Source organism: Homo sapiens, chromosome 3 (genome assembly GCF_000001405.40).
Source record: "Homo sapiens chromosome 3, GRCh38.p14 Primary Assembly".
Lineage (NCBI taxonomy): Eukaryota > Metazoa > Chordata > Mammalia > Primates > Hominidae > Homo > Homo sapiens.
In genome coordinates this window covers 14,752,904-14,773,437 of record NC_000003.12, presented here as the reverse complement: position 1 = coordinate 14,773,437, position 20,534 = coordinate 14,752,904, and the positions used below count along the sequence as shown (strand labels likewise).

The following is a 20,534-nucleotide window of genomic DNA, read 5'->3' as shown; positions in this document are numbered from 1 at the left end:
ACCCCCTCCCCTCCCCCCTCACTTTTTTCTTCCTCTCTCTCCTTGCTCCTCCTCTCATTTCTCCCTTTGTCTCTTCTTCCCTGCCTTTGGCCTTTCTCTCTGCCTCTTCACTGTTCTCTTCTTGCTGTCTTTCCCACCTACACCATAGACTGAGCCTCCCTCACCCAGGAAGGGTATAGGAGGCCCAGTTCAGTCCCATCTGGGCATCCTGGGGGTTACTGGGTCACCTATCCTCGCGCTACCTCTTGGAGGTAGCTTCCTTCCTTGAGTGTGGGAGGGCCTCAGCTGACTTAACTGGCCGCAGAGGAAGTTCTGCATCGGGGGAACCGAGTTTCCAAGGACGTGACCTGGGACAAGTCTGCTGGGGGCCTCTAGCCTCACAGAAGACAGAATGAGCTGGGTCTGTCCTTCCCCAGAGCCTCACCCCAATGCTGGAGGCCCGCTGGTTTATTATAGAAGCTTGGAGGACAGGGTGGGAGACCGGGGAGGCAGGGCTGGGCTGGCAAGAAGCCCCAGCACCCCGGGCCGGGGCCTGGCTCACTTGGCTGCTGCCAGGATGGCGCTACTTCTTGGAGGCCTGCTTCTTCCAACTAGTTATCTTGCTGTCCCTGCTGAGAGGATGTAGCTCCACTTCAGGCTCTCTTGTCCTAAAGATCAAAATAGAGGGCCGGGAGGCGGAAGGGCTGTTCTTCACAGTGCCCAGAGCCCAGGCCCGGTTGGGCCAGGAGGGGCAAGGCCCTCTCCCTTGCACAGGTGAGGCTGTTGGGTGCTGTTCCAACCAGAGGGCCCCGGTGGCACCTGCGACCTTTCTACATGCTCCTAATTTTGCTTTTCTATCTTCATGAGAAATATGTGATTTCCACGCCATGCCGAATGTGTGATTCATTTCATGGTTACCAGCACCAGCAAGTAAGTGGCCTTTAACAGGTGCAGCAAGTTTCTTGCAAGGAGACAGCGGGGCAGTCTCCACCCTTCTCAGACTAATGGGTCTGGGCTGTGGGGTTCTGCTGCAAAGTCTACAAAAGGCCTCCATCTCTACCACCCAGACCACTGCGAGCAGCTCCAGGGCAGCCTGCATGCCCGCCCAATATTGTGTTGATTACATGGGCTAGATGTCAGCGATGGTTGGACATGACCCAGGCCACGCCTGGGGGTAGTGACTTGCCCAAGGCCAAATAGCCCCGAGGTGGCCTGCTGTGAGCCACGCCCATTCTGGCAGCTGATGTGGTCACCTACTTCTCAGCCTCCAGAGATAACTCCTTCTCCACATAGTCTTCCAGGGCCAATGAGGAGCTGCTTCCTTGGATATCTTCTGACTCGGCTTTCTTGACTGATTCAGAATCCTCCAGGCTCAGGACAGAGTTGGGAACACTGCAGGGGAGGCAGGGTCGGGGGCAGTGCTCAGGGCCCAGGGTGCACTGCACGCTGTCCCATCAGTGTTCTGGGAGCCTGGACAGACAAGGACACAAGTGCTTCTCCTCCTGAGGGCAGCGAAGGGAGACTCTGACCTCCTTGGGGACCCAGTGACATGCTGGAGGTTGGCTTCCCTGGCTTCTATTTTGGGCTGGATTAGCCCTAACCCAAATGCTGCTACACTCGCACCCCCAACACTGACCATAGCAAATGCCTGCGGTGGGGCGGGAGGGCTCCGTAAGTGACCACAGGAGAGATGACAGGGGGCAAAGGAAATGTGTCATCATGTGTGGTATTGTGGGCTGAACACATGTCCCCCAAATACATATGTAGAAGTCCTAAACCCCAAGACCCCGGAACGTGGCCTTATTTGGAAATAGGGTCGCTGCAGACATCATTAGTTAAGATGAGGCCATACTGGAGGAGGGTGGGTCCAATCCAACATAACTGGTGTTCCTCTACAAAGGGGAAATTTGGGAGAATGCCATGTGAGGACTGCAGTTCTGTGGCCATAGGCCAAGGAGCTACCAGGAACAGGGAGCAAGGCCTGGGACTGAGCCTCCCTAGCAGCTTCTGGAAGAGCGTGGCCCTGCCCACAACTTGGTCCAAGCTTCTGGCATCCAGAACTGTGAGAGGATGAATTTCTGTTGTTTCAGCCACTCAGTTTGGGTCACCTTTGTGTCTTAGGCTGTTCGAGCAGCTATTACAAAATACCATAGGCTGGGTGGCTGTGAAACAACAGAGGTTCCTCTCCATTCTGGAGGCTGGGAAGCCCGTCATCAAGGAACCTGCAGATTCAGTGCCTGGTGAGGACCTGCTGCATCACAGATGGCTGTGTTCTCATAACTTCACACAGGGAAAGGGGCGAGGGTCCTTCTGGAGCCTTTTATAAGGGCACTAATCCCATTCATGAGGGTTCCATCCCATGAATCACCTCCCCAAGGCTCTGCCTCCTAAACCATTGCCTTGGAGGTGAGGATTTCAACACATGAACTTTGGGGGGCACACTTTCAGACCACAGCCCCTTGTTACAGCAGCTCCAGCCAACACAAACGTGGCTATTCCTTACCTCTGTGCCACACCTCACAGCTTTGCAGCCATTCATTGTCAGTGTTTCTGAGTTACGGGATGTTTCTGAGATTCACAGCAGCCCTGGGAAGCAGGCAACTCTGGGACATTTGTCCCATTTTCCTGACAAGGGCCCCGAAGTCCAGAGAGGTGAGTGGGCTTATTCACGGGCACATAGTAAGTCAATGGCAGAGACAGGACTGGCCCATGTATGCACTGTCTAGTCACTCGGTCATATTTACTGAGCCTCTACTATGCGTCCGGCCCTGAGGAGTTTACAACCTGGTGGGGGTCATGGGTAGCAGTATCTGGTGCTGAAGAAAGGGGCATGGCTTGGGGAGGGGGCTTGAGGTAGCTCTGGGAGTATGTGGCTAAGGCTGGGCTGGGGACAGGAAGTGGGTGTGGAGGGACTGTCCAGGCAGGGGCCATCCTACAAGGCCTAGAGCAAGAAACAGTGTTTACGGGCTGTCTAAATCTGTTTTGTTTGTATAGATCAAGCAAGGGAATCACAGGTGACTTGCTTAAGGCCAGGGCCTTTCAGAGACAAGAGGAGACACAGCCTACTCCGTCATTTCAAGGGCCCTAGAAAAACTAAACACCAAGAAATGCCGAGACCGGGCCTCAGAATCTGGGTGTATGCACAACGTTTACATGTGGCAAATTAACGCCTCTTTGCAGCCCCTTACCTCCAATCCGGCCTCACAAGGAGCACACACACTAAACTAAGCTGACCCTTTAAACGCCTCTCTTAGAGGCCTGCCTGAGGCCCTTTGAGAAGAGGTGGACTGTGGAAGTGTCTGGGCCTATGGTCCAGTCCCTGCCATTCTCAGGGGGCAGGGTGGAGGGCAGGAGACGCAGGGTAGGCTGATGGGCTCCTCCAGGGCCCCCCTAGAGCCCCAGCCCAGGGTGGATGTGGAGGAGGTCCCAGCAACTCTGTTTGGTGTTGAGTGCTTGAGGAGTGCAGGGGAAAAGGCTCGGAAAGAAGCATGGTCCCCCTCACCTGGACATTTCATTCTTTCTTTCATTCATTCCCAGAGCACCTCCTCCCTGAGCTCAGCTCTAGGACTAAATACCTATAGAAGGCCCTGAGTTCACAGCCAGCCCCTCCGTCCCAGCAGTTGGGAAATGTCCCCACCCTGGGTACTGGCCTCCTCCCTGTTCTCCCTGTCTCCAGCCTCACCCTCTTCCATCCAGTGCCCCTACCCCGCGCCCCACCAGAGGGCTGGTCCTCCTTGATCTGGCCTTGTCTCTCCCACTTAAAGCCAGTGTGTGGTTCCCTGATGCTTGCAGGGGTAAGCTCCAGCCCCCACGGCATGACGCCTGCTTCAGGGTCTGTCAGAATCTGCTGATCCAACTAGAGACCCAGTCTCCTCACCCTGTGCCCTCCCCACTCCCCTGCCTACCCCTCCTGCCTCCACCTAGTCTCTTCCTGCCTCTTCTGAGGTGGGCAAGGGGCAGGGGTGCTACCAAGTGGCGCAGCTGTAAAGAGCTTCCCCTCCCATCTGGATAGCATGTTACAGATACATGGCCCAAACTATCAGCATGTTTTTCTAACAGCCTGTCTTGGTGGCTCCCCTAAATCCACAGCCCTCCTGCTCACAGGTTCCTGCGGTGCACTGAGCCCTTGCCTGCCCCAGCCCCTCCTGAGTGCCTTTTCCCTCTCCTCCTTTGCTGGGCCTTCTTCTTATCCTTCAAGCCAGCCTCCCAGGTCCCCTCCTCTGCCAAGCCCTCTGAGCTCTAGCAGAAGGTGAGATTTCCTCCACCGTCCCCTCTGCCTCCGTGCTTATTATGGTGCACTGCTCACAGCTCTATGAATTTGCCCTGCAAGTGCCTCAGCAGGATTTGGTCTCAGCGCCTTGGCACCTCCTGTGTCTGGCTCTTAGCCAGGCATGAGTGAGTGAATGAACGAATGAACCAAATGATGGGGACATCAGAGGATCGTGAACGACTAGGCCAGCAGAGCCACACAGCTGTCCTGCTGGGGTGACAGGAACACATGTCCCTGCTGACAGTGGGCCAGGTGCTTCTCTGGAAGACTAATCTAGAGGTTGATTCTGAGACCATCCTTGGTCAGGGATAAGCAAAAAAGACCATCGGGGGCTTTGCAACAGGCCAGTCCCTCCAGGAATTTCAAAGCCTTTGTACTCACCACAGTGAAAAGGAAAAGCATCCACAAGAACAGGCCCTTGTCGGGTGTGGAGCCCACCTCCCCATGGTATTGCGGCTAGCCCACTATTTCTGAGCCCCTGGTCTACTTCAGGAAGGTAATTTCTCTCTACTCAGCGCCCCCTCAGGCCCCAGTCCAGAAAAGAGGTAGTTTTAACACCATCCTCATCCGTCGTTACTGTCTGCTGCTGTGACAAGCTCATGATACCCTGCTTAGCCCCAACCCAGTCCCTGCCAGGTTCATGAGTCTAAAGCCCAACTCTGATCAAGTCTCTCTCAGCTCAAGAACCTTCATTAGCTCCCCATTGCCTGTAGGATCAAGTCAGGAAAGCCTACGTCTGCATGCCCTTCCCCTGCCTGTCCAAGGGGCTTCCTTGGGCTGAGTGGGGTGTGGGGTTGCTGGCATGAGCAGCCGGTAAGGGTGGATTGCTGTTCCTCAGAGCAGCATCATAGAGGGAGGGCCTGGCGGTGGCTGGCTCCTTGCTGAGCACGGGGCCTGCTCTCCACAGCTCCATCCTTGGAGGGGTCTTGGTGTATGCAGCGGACGAGGGTGTGGGCCCCCTGCACTGCTGATCCAACTAGAGACCCAGTCTCCTCACCCTGTGCCCTCCCCACTCCCCTGCCTACCCCTCCTGCCTCCACCTAGTCTCTTCCTGCCTCTTCTGAGGTGGGCAAGGGGCAGGGGTGCTACCAAGTGGCGCAGCTGTAAAGAGCTTCCCCTCCCATCTGGATAGCATGTTACAGGATACAAAGCCTCTTGAGGCTCACATTGGTGTTTCTGTAGCGCTCTGTCTTTATCAGGTCTCATTCCAGTTGGTAGTGTGGTCTGCGTTTCACAGAGCCCTTGACGGTTTATACCGTGCTTTGTCCCTTCTAGAGTGTCTTATGGTTTACAAACTGCTTTGAAGGGTAGGAGGTGCATTACAGTTTAGAGAGCACTTTACGGGGCTCACAGTAGCTTACGGAGTGCTCTGCTGTTCTGGAGAGCAGGCCCGTGAGGGCGCACAGCAGTGTAGAAGATGCTTTCTGGTTTACAGGGCACATTGCTGCTTCCAAAGCCCTTTGTGATTTTGGGGACATGTGGCAATTTACAAAGGATTTTGTCTTTTACAGAATTCATGACAGTTTGCAAAGTACTCTGTGGCTTACTGGGTGCATTAAAGTTTACACAGGGCTTTGCAGTTCACAGGGCACATGACAGTTTAAGGAACACTTTGTCATCACAGGTGCAGTCATCTCTGACAGCTTCTGATCCTCTCAACTCACTCCTCTGAGAATGGTCCAGAAAGAACTACACCCCCATCCCACAGGGAGGGGACTGAGGCCCAGCAAGGGCAAGGCCAGGTTTGTGGCATCACCTGGGCACACTGTCTCTCCAGGGCACCTCCCTACCCTGGCTGGGCCTCCACTTTCCCTTCTCTAATATGGGCACTCAGGGCCCGGGGTCATCTTTTCTGCAGGAAGCTCACCCACCAGACTCCCACATTGCCTAGCAGCTGGGGTTGGAGCCCAAGGCTTCACTCTCCTCTCCCCACCACCCCATGCTAGGCCCAAGGGCAGCACCACAAAGGGGCACTGCCAGGCGCCTCCACCCCAGACACTTGTGAGGGCTCCAGGACACCAGGTCTGGCACATTCCCATCCTGGGGACCTAACAGGCTAGCAGGCGAGGCAGACAGTTGGCCAGTTAGCTCCAGTCCTAGGTAGATGGAGAATGGCCTTTCCGAGAGGTCCCAGCAGGAGGATGTGACAATGGAGGGACAAAGCAGAGGCTTCCGGCCCTCGCTGGTCTCCTGTGCTCCAAGACATCTTCCACAGTGAGTCGGAGCCGTCGTCCTGACAAAGCTGCCTGGCCACGCTCCTCAAAGCCGCCTGGCCACGCTCCTCAAAGCCTCCCACAGCTCTGGCCACACTCAGGAAGGGGACAGCCGCCCTGGCTGGGGGTCAGGCCGGCTGCACTTGGCTTCCAGCTACCCTGGCGCCCCACCTCTTCACCTACCCACTCTCTGCATCCTGGGTGCTGGCAGGCTGAGCTAAGAGGGCCAACTGCCCTCCCTGCCTGGTGGGCCCTTCACGCCCCGTCACCACTGTCACAAGTCCAGTCCTGGTCTCTTGTGTACCTCGTCCCCACTGCTGTATGAGTGCAGCCGGGCAGCACCTCTGCTCACTGGCACAGATAGGGGCCTGCAAATAGTGACTAGTGTGTGACCCCCCTCCCCCTCGCCGGCTGCCCCTGAGGGTGATGACGGAGGCAGGGGGATAGCAGTGACTGTCGTGTGCAGGTGGACATGGTGCAGACTCACGAGCTCTGCATGTGTTCTGGGCTGTTCTTCCCAGCCTGGCTACTGCTGGCTGCTTGAAAGCTTTCCTGGCAGCTCCAGCCTCCTGAGCCCTACCAGGTGTCAGAGCTCCCTCAGTCCCCTCCATCTGGGGGCCTGGAAGCTTTCGGGAGTGAGGATGAGCTCTTGGCCTCTCCGGTCCCTATTGTGCTGGTGCCCAGTTGGGAAGAGTCTGGCAAGGACAGGGGCTGAGCCAGATGTGACCCAGCGCCCCGCACAGGGCTGCCCTGGGGAGGGGATCACTATCTGCCACACAAGAAAGGAGAAAAGGCACAGGCTGAGTGGGGGACAGGGAGGCTCCAAGCCTCACACAGCTCTGGTCTCTGATCAGTCCTGGCCCCGAGCTGGGCTGCTGTTTCCCAAGCTTGGAGCCTTCTGTGGCCTTATCTTGGTGCAGCCCACTGGGCCCGCCACTCCCAGAGGCCCTGCAGACTCCCCCAGTTGTTTTTGGCCTGGCAGGCCCTCACCCTTCTGCTCTGTTTGTCAGAAGGCAATCTACCTGCCAGGTGACAGCTTGCCCCAGCCCCTGCTGGAGCTCATGAGGCCCCCGTGGGGACCCTTTCTTCCCCAGCACCTATGGTCCGACTCCTTTGTGGGTTCCTCTTCCTGCTCCTGGCCCTTGCCTCTCCATGGCGGCTTCACAGATTCCAGGCCCACATTGAGAACTCTTTCTGTGGCCAGCTCCTCTGAGGAAAGAGAAGGCTGAAGTGCCCCCAGCCTGGTGACCACCCCAACCTGACTGGACCTGGCTTCCAGCCCAGCTTCCCTGCACCTGCTCTGCTCACCTATTGCTTTTCTCTCCACCTCCTCACCTCCACAGAAGGATTTCCTGGACTCCCCCCCAACACTTGTGCAAAGCCAAGTCTACTCTGGGTAAGGAAGACATGATTCCCACCAAGCAACAGTGAGGGCCTCCCTCTCCTAGCACTCTAGATGCAAAGCTGTTGGCCAACATCCCTCAGTAAACGGAGGACATAGAAAACAATGTCAGCTCCTGGCACTGCAGACTCCCTTGCTCTAGGCATGGATTCTTCTGATTTCAGAGACTGTTTCCAGCATAATGGTCCCTCACGCTACCCCTTCCATGGCCTCTGACCATCAGCCTTCCAAATCTAAAGGTGAACATTTATTCTTTCCCCCAAACCATCCCGTAGCAACTGAGCCTGCTGAGACCTTGATTCAGCCATCTCTTCTCCCTCAAGGGCACAACTGATCAGCAAGCCTTCTATGTATTCATCCTGGTTGCATATTTAGAAAATAAATGGACCGGCCAATCACAGAGGCCTGCCCTTTAGGCTGCTGCTGAACCTCACTCACTGGGGTGTGGCTGCAGAAGCTACCATCTGAACCACATGCATCCACCTTGTCCATGAGGACATTGTGAGATTTCACCCAGTATCTTCTGGAATCCAGGTGATGCGGCCGGCCAACAGCACGTCTTGTACTACTAACCAGTCACCCTGCTGGAAGAGGAACTGGGGTGGATGGAGTGCTTTTCAAACATGTCCACAAATTCTTCAACACTCTTTCCCCATCAAGAGGTGGTGTCTAATTCCCCCCGACCTTGAATATGGGCTGGCCCCAGGGACTTCAGTGCAATGGAATGTGTAATGCTGCATGACTTATGAGGCTAAGGCATGAAAGGCAAGACAGCTTCTCGCTGGCCCTTTCCTGGGAAGCTCCCTCTTGGAACCCAGCCACCATGTTGTGAGGAAGCCCAGGCCACTTGGAGAGGCTACATTTGAGTGGTCTGGCTGACAGTCCACACTGACCACCAGGTATGGGAGTGCGCAAACCTTGGAGATGACTTAGCCCCAGACAACTTCTGACTGTAACTGTATGACAGACCTTCTCACTCCTGCCAAACAAGAACCACTTAGCTGAGCCCAGCTGGCACCAGGACCATGACAGAGAATAACAACAACAACAACAACAACAACAACAATAATAATAATAATAATAATAATAATAAACGATTGTGTTGTTTTATCCTACAAAGCTTGGGTGGTTTGTTTCACAGATACGGATTATAGGAACAACTGCTATGGCAATGCTTTCAATTAAAGATTCTATTTCCTTTTTTCACCTAAGTGCTCTTAAACCATCAACCCACTTGGCTATTCTAGGATTAGGAGGAGTCCTACTGGTTAATAGTTTCACGAATCTGCCTCTTTCCATTTTCAAGAACCTAGACCATCTTGTGTGCATGTTTCTAGTTTGTATGTATGTGTGTATGTTTCTATCTAGTTTGTGTGTGTCTGGTTTGTGTATATGTGTGTATAGTGTATGCATGTGTATGTGTGTCTAGTTTGTGTCTACTTCTGTGTGTCTAGTTTGTGTGTGTTTGTGCATCTAGTAAGTGCAGGAATCTAATGTGTGTACATGTGTGTCTGGTTTACATGTGTTTATAGTTTGTATGTATGTGTATAGTTTGTATATGTGTGTATCTGGTTTGTGTGTATGTATGTGTGTCTAGTTTTCTGATTCTTTCCTCACCATTCCTGAACAATTGTTGAAGACTGTTGTAAGCATACCACTAAGTTCTTTCAGAATCCTTGAATATAACACATTAGGAGACCAGAGCTCATTTTAATGATAATAATATCACTAACAAGGGTAGGCAGTAATCTCAGTAAACGTGAGCTATGTGCCAGCACTTCCCATGTGCTGACTCCTCTAATCCCCATAACCCAATACAGTGAGTCTCACTCTACAAAGAAGCTGGCGCACAGAGAGGGTGAGTGTTTTACACAGTTCACGCAGCTATGAAAGGTGGCCGGACTCCTTAAACTGTCATTTCCTACTAAAGAGCATCTTCCTTTTGAGGACATCTAGAGCCAAATAAAATATGTCTCTTTGTAACTACTTTCTGGCATCCTCCACTGTGATGTCTGAACGTCTATGTCCCCCCAAATTGATATGCTGAAATCCTCATCCCTAAGGTGATGGTGTTGGGAGGCAGAGCTTTTGGGAGGTAAGGCAGTCAGTCATGAGGGTGGGACCCTCATGAATGGGATTGGTGCCCTTATACAACAGGCCCCAGAGAGACCCTTGTCCTTTCTGCCATGCAAAGACACAGCAAGAAGGCGCCATCTATGAACCAGGAAGCAGCCCTTCCCAGACACCAAATCCATTGGCGCCTTGGTCTTGGACTTACCAGCCTCCAGACAGTGGGAAATAAATGTTCAACAGGCTAAGACATTCACTCCCCATGCACCATAGCAGGCTAGCCTTCTTCTGAATGTTTCTGAAAATGCCCTTGCTGGTCCTCTTTGGCATCTTCCTGCAGCCTCAGCTCATCTTCAGCCTGGGCCCTTCCCAATAGCGTCCCCCTGTCCTGTCCTGCCCTTGGTGCCTCTGTCTTTCTCCCTGGGATTGTTGGTGACTGGTCTTCAAGGACCACCAAGCCCTCTCCCTCTTGAAGTCTCAGGCAGTGGGGTCTCAGTGACTTTTCTGTCTGCACCTTTCAGCATCTGCTCCTCCTTACCATCCACAGGCTCCTCCTGGGCCTGCCTTCCCCGCTGAGTGCTCTGAGTTGTGGGGGTCACTTGGCATGACCTCTTCAGTTCCTCCAGAAGTGGGTTGCCCCACTCGGACAAGGCCCAGACTCAGCTTACTGCAGTGAGAAGGGCATAAGACTCCTAGAAAACTGAGGGTCCTGTGTGGGAGTAGGGGGTACCCAGACTCGGTGCTGTGGGGGTGCAGTCACAGGACTTAGGGCTGCATACCCCAGGTCTGCATATAAATAACACTTTCCACATGCCCCATCATTTGCTTCACAGTTCACAAAGCTCTTTAACGAACACACTTTCATGAGATCCTCACAGCCTCTCAAGGTGGGCATTATTTCCTCATTTTGAAGGTGAGGAAACAGAGGATTAGGGAGGTAAACTGATTCACCACAGTCACCCAGCCAGTAGAGTGGAGCAGGGGCTCCAACCTCATCCTGCAAGTGTCTCACTGCACCGTGCTGCCCAGGCATTCTCAAATCTGCTCATGTTCCCCTAAAGCAGTCTTCAGGCGCTTCATGCAGCGCAGGCTCCTTCCTGGACTAGGATGTATTCTTCTTGAGCCACTCAAAGCTAGGTCTCTCGGCTCAAGAAGATCATCTCACGAGAGCTGGGCCCAGGAGGTGCTCAACAAGTTGGCATCACCTGGTTGAAAAGCCCAAGCTCAGAAGCCCAGAGGCAGACTTAAGCCAGCATTTCCTGCTACAGGGGCCTGGGATCACTTCATGAATGGCCTTTGTCTGTGTGGGGAGGCTGAGGCAGGAGGATCACTTGAGCCCAGCCATTCAAGGATGCAGTGAGCTATGATCGCGTCACTGTACTCCAGCCTGGCCAACAGAGTGATACCCTGTCTCAAAACAAACAAACAAAAAAACAAAGCAGAAGCAGAGCCCAGCTTGCACATGAGGTGGTGGTAGGGTGTGGTGGGACAGAGAGGGGGTGTAGCCAGAGCTCCTGCCCACCAAACCTGTCTAGAATATTCCAACAGAAACAGGGACTGTGCAAGCATTCCCATGTCCCTCTTTCCCCAAGGGGGCTCTTTTTCCAAACTTGTGTCCCAAAGAAACCCACAACATGGCTTTGCTCACACACCCCCTCCCACTCTGCACCTGCTCCCATCTCTCCCCTGCCCACCTGCAAAGTCCTCCTGCCGCAGTTTTTGCCATGTGTGTGCCACAGGTGGAGGCTTCCCACCTCCAGCCCCCCTCCCCACTCCATCCCTTCAGCCCCGCCTGCTCCCCTCAGTTCCCCTTTCACAGCCCAAGTCTCCTTTCTGCCCTCCATACCTCCCCAGGCCCATCCCTCATCCTGCGTGTTTCCTGTTTTACCTGAATTTGTAGTCATCCGGCAGGAAGTAGCCCATCTTGTAATCCTGTTGAGACCGGAAGATCTGTTTCAGCAGATTCTGCTTGCTGAGGCCATATCCATTCAAAACACGGCCCCCAAAAATGAGCTTCCCCCCGGCAAACATCTGTTGACAGGAAGGAAATGAGGAGAGATCCTCAGCACATCAGCACAGCAGTGTCCACTGATAAGACAGGCAAGTTTGGAATTTCACTAGAACAGCGCCACAGGCCTCTCAGAGCTTACGCCGTGAGGCAGGCCTGGGGTGGCTGGGGAAGGAGTGCTGCCCTCCCTGAGTTGCCCAGGGAGGTATGGCTGAGTCCAGCCCCTGCCCAGGCTGGGACGGTGGGGTTGCCCTATGATCTGGGGGCCTGGTCAGGGGTTTGGCTCAGCCATATCTCCCTGGGCAACCTGAGGAGGGCAGCACTCCTTCCCTTCTGCCTGCTTGGCCACCCAGCTCAAATGCACTTCACATACAACCCCACAGAGCCCTGGGGCCAGAAATGTGTTCTCCTGCTGTGTATGTACGTTTCAGCTTATCCCATGGAATGGGAAACCCTTGAGGGCAGGGCTCCCACCCCCATAGGTCAGTCCCCAACAAGTAGACACCTACCCAAATATTTCTGTGCAAAAATATTCATGACGGCATTATTTGTTATGGCAAAAAAATACAAATAACTTAAATGTCAACAAAAACAGCACAAATAGATAAAATGACAGACTCTTCACTTTGGGAGGTCAAGGTGGGCGGATCACAAGGTCAGGAGTTCGAGACCAGCCTGGCCAGTATGGTGAAACCCCAATCCTACTAAAAATACAAAAATTAGCCGGGCATGATGGTGGGAACCTGTAGTCCCAGCTACTTGGGAGGCTGAGGCAGGATAATCACTTGAATCCGGGAGGCAGAGGTTGCAGTGAGCCGAGATTACACCACTGCACTCCAGCCTGGGTGAGAGAGTGAGACTCTGTCTCAAAAAAAAAAAAAAAAAAAAAGAAGACAGACTCTTACACAGTAGTTAAAAATCAGGTGTTACAAACTAAATAAGGACATGGGGAAATGCTCATGGTATTTTAATTTAAAAAGAAGAATTGCAAAGAATATATGCAGAAAAGGACTGCAAAGGTCAGACACCAAAATGTTAGCATGTGGTGGCCCTTGCAGGTGCCAGGTACATATCTGTGGGGTGAGCAAATGAGACTCTCTGAGTGATCTGATGATGTCATTATTTTCTAAATTATATTTTCTAAGCTTTCCATAAAGAACATGTGCAAGTATTTACAGTACACTGTTTTTAGGATAAAGCCATTTAAAAACAAACAGATGAAGGGAATTTGATTTGCTAGGTTGAATGTCACCTGTCCCTGCAGTCTCCTGGGATGGGGGACACATAGGGTCCTGGGCTTCAGCCCCAGCTCTGTGTGCTGGGTGACTCTTGGTCAGTCTTCCTGCTCTCTGGGCCTCAGCCACGGTGGGGAGATAATTCCGCAGCCCCTCCCTTCTTCTCCTCTCTCCTCCTCCTCCCACATGTGTGATTCTGCAGGGGCAGAGGTGGCTGCGGCTGGGGTGGCAGGCAGTGGATAGCAAGTCCCTGCTGGCTCACCAGAATCATCCCCTGCACCACAGAGTTCTTCTTCACCATCAGGGGAGGGTCCTCCTGCAGGGGGCTGTCCAGGTCATACTGCAGCAGGCGGTAGGAGTCATACCGGCACTACCAGGAGAGAAATATGAGAACTGGTCACCCCCATGCCAATAAGATGTACCTGGATTGCCATATTCTCGGCTAGGCCTGGTTCCCCCTGAGTCCTGGAGCCCTGTACAACTCCCTCTCCCCAACTCCTCCTGCTCCAGGGGCCCTTGGGCCTGCATGCACACCTCCCATGACTGTCCCTTGAGGATGTCCCTGGATCTGATTAGAGCCCGCTAGGGGAGAAGGCCATTTCCGAGATGGCTGCCCCACATGTGACTCCCACTAGCCTGGCTCTCTGGGGTCCACAGAATGTGACTGCTCCCTTGCCCTGGAGGTAGCACTGCAGAGGTTTGAAGATGGGAACTGTGTTCTTAGGTGGACCCGTTTCCAGGCTTTTGAGTCTACTTTACACAGCATAAAGAATTCCCCCACTCCCTACCCACTCCTGGCAAGCCCCTCAGGACCCTCCCAGTCACTATATCCAGGGAGAGGACCTGAACTGAACCCACACCTCAAGGTAGGGTGTGGGCAATTCAGAGGAAAGCTGGCCTCTCTCCCCTCCTTCTTTCTGGATGCCTCAGATCTATTAATACAGCCAATGTGCTGTCTTCCCATTTTATCTGCCTTATTTCCAGGTGCCTCCAGCTATCCTTTCAGTCTACAATATGAAACTCAGAACCACACCCAGTGTTCTAGCTGTCAGGGAAAGAGAAAGTCTGGGAACATTTCTGCATTCACCAAAGACACCCTAATCTGACACCTGCTTCCAAGTCTGTCCTCCAGGCCTGCTGCCCACTCCTTTATGAACTTCAACTGCCTCAGGCCACGCCCTGTCCTCACTCACACTGTTCATGGCTGGGCTTGGCCACCTGAGCACTCCAATTGCTTAGGGACAACTGTTAGCGAACAACGACTAGCCCCATAATAAGCTAAAATCAACTCTAAGTTCCCCCGTGGGCAGGGATTTTATCTGTCTCTACATGGACGGACACACAGAATTAACTCAATACATGCTCACTGGATTGAACTAAATTGGAGGTTGGCTCTGGAAAACAAACATGGCTTTGCTGTATGGGACAAGTGAAAAGGCTTGTGGCTGAGTCTACACTCTTGGACTGAGATGGTCAAAGGGCTACTGGTGTCTGCTCAGAAGGTCTGGAGCACAGACCCGAGGGTGGACGTGCCAGAGTCAGGGAGGGGCCACTTCTGGGAGGAGGGTGTCCATGCAGAACCCCTACCCCTGGTGTACATGAAACCCAGAACTCTGCAGCAGCAATTGGGAAATGGGCAAAGACAGCGGATTCTAGGAGACAGGAGGGCAAACAGGGCTTGAAGGAAGTCACCATGTGGACACCCAGCTCATGTGCTCATGTGCCATCCTTTGCTCCAGTTGGTCTGGGGTTGGGGCCAGCCTTCAAACTGTGCCAATGTTGCTGGGAATGACTGCATGCTTGGAGGATTACATAAGCCTGATAGGTGGGAACGACTCTACTGCAGCGATGAGTAGGCAGGAGTGGGTTCCATGGGCCTGAAGACTCCCTTTAGACCTCAGCCATAACCAGCTGGGACCTTGAGCAGTGCTTCTCTCCTGTCCCCCTTCGCACAGGCCACTGCCTCTTCTAGGAACATTAATCACCTGCCAAAACCCCATTTAACCTGGATGGCCCTCCGGACCCCCAGATGGCAGCAGGCACATGTTCCCAGGCTCTTGTGTGCCCAGAGCTGTCCTCTCACGGCCTCACTGGCAGTGCTGGAGTTGCTGCCACACTGGGAGCTCCTCTAGGGCCCGGTTTGCATCTGAGTCATGCTGGGTGCCCAGGGCCCGGTCCATGCCCAGCACACAGTGGGTACTTGTGACAGTCTACAAGTATTTTCAGAGCCCTGAGGATTCAGTGGTGAGCACTGCCCGTGCTCTAAATATTCACACCAACAAGCAGTCACAAACTGGAAGGAAAGGACAGTGCCCTGATTTTGTCTCAAGGGTCAGAAGAGGGCCTGGCCCTTATGTGGTGACATTCACCTTAGAACTAGAGGATGAGCGGGAAGGACAGAAGCAGGGGGAGGGAGGACACTGCAGACAGGAGAGTACACACAAAGACTCCAAGGAGAAAGGAGCTGAAGGAGGGTGGCCCCTCAGGCAGGTGCTCAGCCAGTCCTAGCACTGTGGGGGTTTTCTCGGACTGCCCCACTACCCCTGCCCCTGGCCTCCAGGGCCTCCTCACTGGGCCCAGACCAACCTGGATGCAGGGGGAGCCACGGCCCCGCTGCTGGTGGTTGTAGAGAGTGTTCAGCAGCCACTGGAGCTGCCCAGTGCTGGTGTAGTTCTGGCTTGAGATGATCCCAAACACCAGCACTTGGCTGGGGTCTCGGGGCGCCAACAGGAAGCGCTCCAGCTCCACGTCAGAGACCAGGGGCGCCTTCACCAGGCACTTGCAGCCAGCACGGGTGTCTTCCTTGAGCATGAGCTTCCGCAGCACCAGCGGGCAGTCTGAGGGCAAGGCCGCCCACCTGGTGGGGCTGCGCCCCTCGCGGGCCTTCCCTCTGCAAGGAGGAGCACAGTGCACAGGGACCCTCAGAAGGTGGTGAAGGTCTGTGGTTCCCAGAGCCCCCTGGCTCCTGCTGGTCAAAGGCCCTGCTGCAGGCAGATTTTAGTCTGGGCCCTGCTGCCAATGTGCTGCACCACCTTGAACAGGTCCCCTAACCTCTCTGGGCCTCTTTCCACAGTGCAAAATGAGAGTAACAAGTTACTCCTTCACCCATCCATTGGGTCAAAAAATGCTTTAGTGTCATCCTTAACTCCCTTCTCTCACACCGAACACATCCCATCTAATCTTGTCAGCAAGCTTGTCCTCTCTACACTCAAGACAGACCCACAATCTGACCACTTTTCCTCCCCTCCACCCCCACGGATGTGGTCCAAGTCTCCTTCATTCTTGCCTGGCTGCCTGCTAATGCCTCCTAATGGGTCCTGTGTTTTCTTCCCTGGCCTGTCTTCAGTCTGTTCTCAGACCAAGGGATCCTGTTAAAACCTAGCTCACGTCATGTCACTACTCTCTTCAAAACCCTCCGGTGGCTTTCTACCTTTTACAGAATAAAAGCCAAAGTCCCTGCCATGTGCTTCAAGGCTGCAAGAATCTGCCCCCTGCATTTCATCCTCCTTACATCTCTTACTCTCCAGCATTCCTGCCTTTGCTCACTGCACTTCAGCCACACTGGCCTCCACTTGTCCTTTAGTCTTGGAGGATAGTGGCCTTTGCTGTTCCTCCATAGAGCCATTATGTCACTCTCACAAGGCTCTGTCCAAACGTTACCTTCTTAATGAGATTTTCTGAGTGCCCTATTTCATCCCTCTTCTTCCAACACTCTTTCCCTTCCCTGTTTTATTTTTCTTCTTAGCATTGCTTGCTATCTAACATATCTTTTACTTTTAAATTTTATTATTGCACTTCTCTGTCCTACTAGAATGCAAGTTCCATGAGTTCATGAATTTGGTGTGTTTTGTTCAGTGGAATAAAACAGTAGCATTTGAAAAATAGTAAAGATTCAACAGAGATTCAATAAATATTCAAACCAATATTTGTTGGGCCCCTACTATGTGCCAAACACTGTACCGGGTTGTTGTGAGGGTTGTGGTATTTACACGGGAATAAGCGCCATCCAAATAGAAAGTGCTGCTATGATTCTACCTTTATCGATGTCTATTCCAAGACTGTGGATACTGTAAAATGCTAAACATGACGAAAGGCAGTAGCATGTTTAGCATTTTACAGCATCACAGTCTTGGAATAGACATTGTCTTGGTTAATTTTATAACAACTCTGTGCAACAGGCAGGACAGAAACTCTTTTTTCTTTTTTCTTTTTCTTTTTTTTTTTTTTTTTTTGAGATGGAGTCTCGCTCTGTCACCCAGGCTGGAGTGCAGTGGCGCAATCTCGGCTCACTGTAAGCTCCGCCTCCCGGGTTCACGCCATTCTCCTGCCTCAGCCTCCTGAGTAGCTGGGACTACAGGCGCCCACCACCACGCCTGGCTAAGTTTTTGTATTTTTAGTAGAGACGGGGTTTCACCGTGTTAGCCAGGATGGTCTCGATCTCCTGACCTCGTGATCTGCCCGCCTCGGCCTCCCAAAGTGCTGGGATTACAGGCGTGAGCCGCCGCGCCCAGCCCAGAAACTCTTATTGCCATTTACAGATTAGAAAACAGAAGGTTCCCACGAGGTGAATGGGTGCCCAAGTTCATATGGTAATTAAGTGGCAAGGGCTAGGATTAGAAACCAGGACATCCTGAAACAAGAGCAATGCAAGATGAGCATTATTTCTCAGGGGCTATTAATACTGATAAGTACTTGCTGAACAAACTTGTTAAGAATATCTCTTACTCAAGAACCTGCATATCTGGGGCAGAGCAGGGGGTGGGGGAGACTGGATCTATTAATTATAGCTTACCCAGGGAGAAGTTCAAAATAATCAAAGGTTTAAATGTGGGGCAATTAAGCCATAACGTTTCTACTAGAAAATATGGGGAAATTATTCTATAATTTTGGAGCAGGAAGGCTTTTTACAATTATGACTAAAAAATCCAGAAGTCATAATAGAAAAAGATTGATAAAGTCAACTACATGAAAGAAAACAGCCTCCAAAATCCCTCTGTGGCAAAAAAAATACACATACACAAAAAACCAAAACTATCATAACCAAAGATGAAAGACAAATGACAAACCGAGAAACATATTTGAAACTCCTGCCATAGAACAGTGGCCAATGTCTCCACTAGGTAAAATACTACAAATCAATTAGAAAAAGTTAATAACCCAATAAAATATGGACAAAGGTAGTGAACAAATAATTCACAGAAAAGAATATAGGTTTTAAAAATTATAAAGGAGGGAGGGCTGGGCATGGTGGCTCACACCTGTAATCTCAGCACTTTGGGAGGCTGAGGCAGGAGGATCACTTGAGGCCAGGAGTTCCAGACAAGGCTGGACAACATAGCAAGACATCATCTCTACTAAAAATTAAAAAATTAGCCAGCCATGGTGGCACATGCCTGTGGTCCCAGTTTCTTGGGAGGCTGAGGTGGGAGGAATGCTGGACCCCAGGAGTTCGAGGTTATAGTGAGCCATGATCACACCAATGCACTCCAGCCTGGCAGACAGAGCAAGACCCTGTCTCTAAAATAAATAAAAATAAAGATTTAAAAATAAACTCATAAAAAGAGGGGAGTGAAGCCACCAAAAATGGTGGTTACTCTAATTTTGGAACTCAAAAACCACATCCGTTGACTAGATCAACAATGAAGCTGGCAAACACTGTCAGAAACAACTTTATCCAAGGTTCTGGAATCTAATGAAAAAACTTGCAACAACCAGAGGAATGCTTAATTAAGAAAGATGCTGCTAAATTTTGGTAAGAGAGCATTGTAGCATTTTAAGCTTACTCCCCTGCCATCCCTCAAAGCCCTGCTCAGTAGCATCCATGGAATGACAGCCCCTGTTCCTGGTGCACCTTGCTAGTAGCAGAGGGGACAATATGAACCTTGTTCTCAAGGAATTGTGGTTCTGTGGGCTGGCCTGTCTAGAGGTTCCCTGAGGGATCAGCTCAGAGCTTGACTTTGTTTTATCTGACTCGCAACATTCTCAGGGCTGGAGCAGTCCCTCCTGGGAAGCATCTGTCAGGTGCATTTAAAGACAAAGATACCAGACAGCCTCATGGTGCAAGGGGAAACAGAAGAGGCACAGATAAGTAGGCTAAAAAGCCTGGGAAGAAAGAGGGTGGGGAAGGAGGTATATGGGAGAATAAGGCTTTGAAAGGCTCACATGCATACCAGGGAATATAGATACCAGGTTTGGAACCATGTTTTGAAAAGGCCTGAGAACACTCTAAGCTTTCATCTCTGGCTGACCACTGGACTTTTTGAAAGTAGAAGGTAAAGGCTAATGCAGATTAGTCTTGGTGTGAACAGCCTGACTAAAAGCATTGAATGAATGTCTCAATACAGAGCCAATCTGCAAAGACTGGAAGAGTTTTGTTTTTGTTTTTGTTTTTGTTTTGGCTCCAGATAATCTCTATCAAATCACTAGCTGACCACTTACCTAACTGAATGGAGACTACACATTACAAATGGTACAGTCTTTATAAAAGTAGTTTGGAGAAGTAACTAAATAACAAACAGCTACAAACTACAACAAGCAGCAACAACAAATCTTAAGGAAAAGGTGAAATTTGATTTCCAGGGTTACCACATTCTAATATTTAAAATGTTCAGTTTTCAACAACAACAAAAAAAACCTGAGGTATGCAAAGAAACAAAAAAGTATGGACCACTCACAGGAAAAAAATTTACTAGAAACTGTCCCCAAGGAAACCCAGATATTGGACTTACTAGACAAAGATTTTAAATCAACAGCTTAACTATATATATATTATTATTACAGTTTAAGTTCTAGGGTACATGTGCACAATGTGCAAGTTTGTTACATAGGTATACATGTGCCATGTTGGTTTGCTGCACCCATCAACTCATCATTTACATTAGGTATTTCTCCTAATGCTATCCCTCCCCCAGCCCCTGACCCCACAACAGGCCCTGGTGTGTGATGTTCCCCTCCCTATGTCCATGTGTTCTCATTGTTCAACTCCCACTTATGAGTGACAACATGTGGTGTTTGGTTTTCTGTCTTTGTGATATTTTGCTGAGAATGATGGTTTCCAGCTTCATCCAGGTCCCTGCAAAGGACATGAACTCATCCTTTTTTATGGCTGCATAGTATTCCATGGTGTATATGTGCCACATTTTCTTTATCCAGTCTATTATTGATGGATGTCTGGGTTGGTTCCAAGCCTTTGCTATTGTGAATAGTGCAGCAATAAACACATGTGTGCATGTGTCTTTATAGTAGCATGATTTATAATCCTTTGGGTATATACCCAGTAATCGGATTGCTGGGTCAAATGGTATTTCTAGTTCTAGATCCTTAAGGAATTGCCACACTGTCTTCCACAATGGTTGAA

At 51.5% G+C, this 20,534-nt stretch overlaps 1 protein-coding gene across 9 annotated transcripts in view; it reads right to left on the bottom strand.

Moving 5' to 3' along the window:
• Positions 1-401: 401 nt before the first annotated feature.
• C3orf20 (chromosome 3 open reading frame 20) overlaps positions 402-20,534 on the bottom strand; it is a 97,896-nt gene continuing 77,763 nt past the window's right edge. For 5 of the 9 annotated variants that reach the window (XM_006713341.3, XM_011534153.4, XM_006713342.2 and 2 more), the window contains 6 exons: positions 15,764-16,067; positions 13,440-13,547; positions 11,823-11,965; positions 10,473-10,601; positions 1,237-1,371; positions 402-647 (listed from right to left, as the gene is read on the bottom strand). In XM_006713341.3, the coding sequence (XP_006713404.1) occupies positions 563-647; positions 1,237-1,371; positions 10,473-10,601; positions 11,823-11,965; positions 13,440-13,547; positions 15,764-16,067 (904 nt within the window). In that variant the 3' untranslated portion in view covers positions 402-562. Of the gene's footprint in view, positions 648-1,236; positions 1,372-10,472; positions 10,602-11,822; positions 11,966-13,439; positions 13,548-15,763; positions 16,068-20,534 lie in introns of those variants that run through there. The other 4 variants (NM_032137.5, NM_001184958.2, NM_001184957.2 and 1 more) reach the window with 2 other exon arrangements.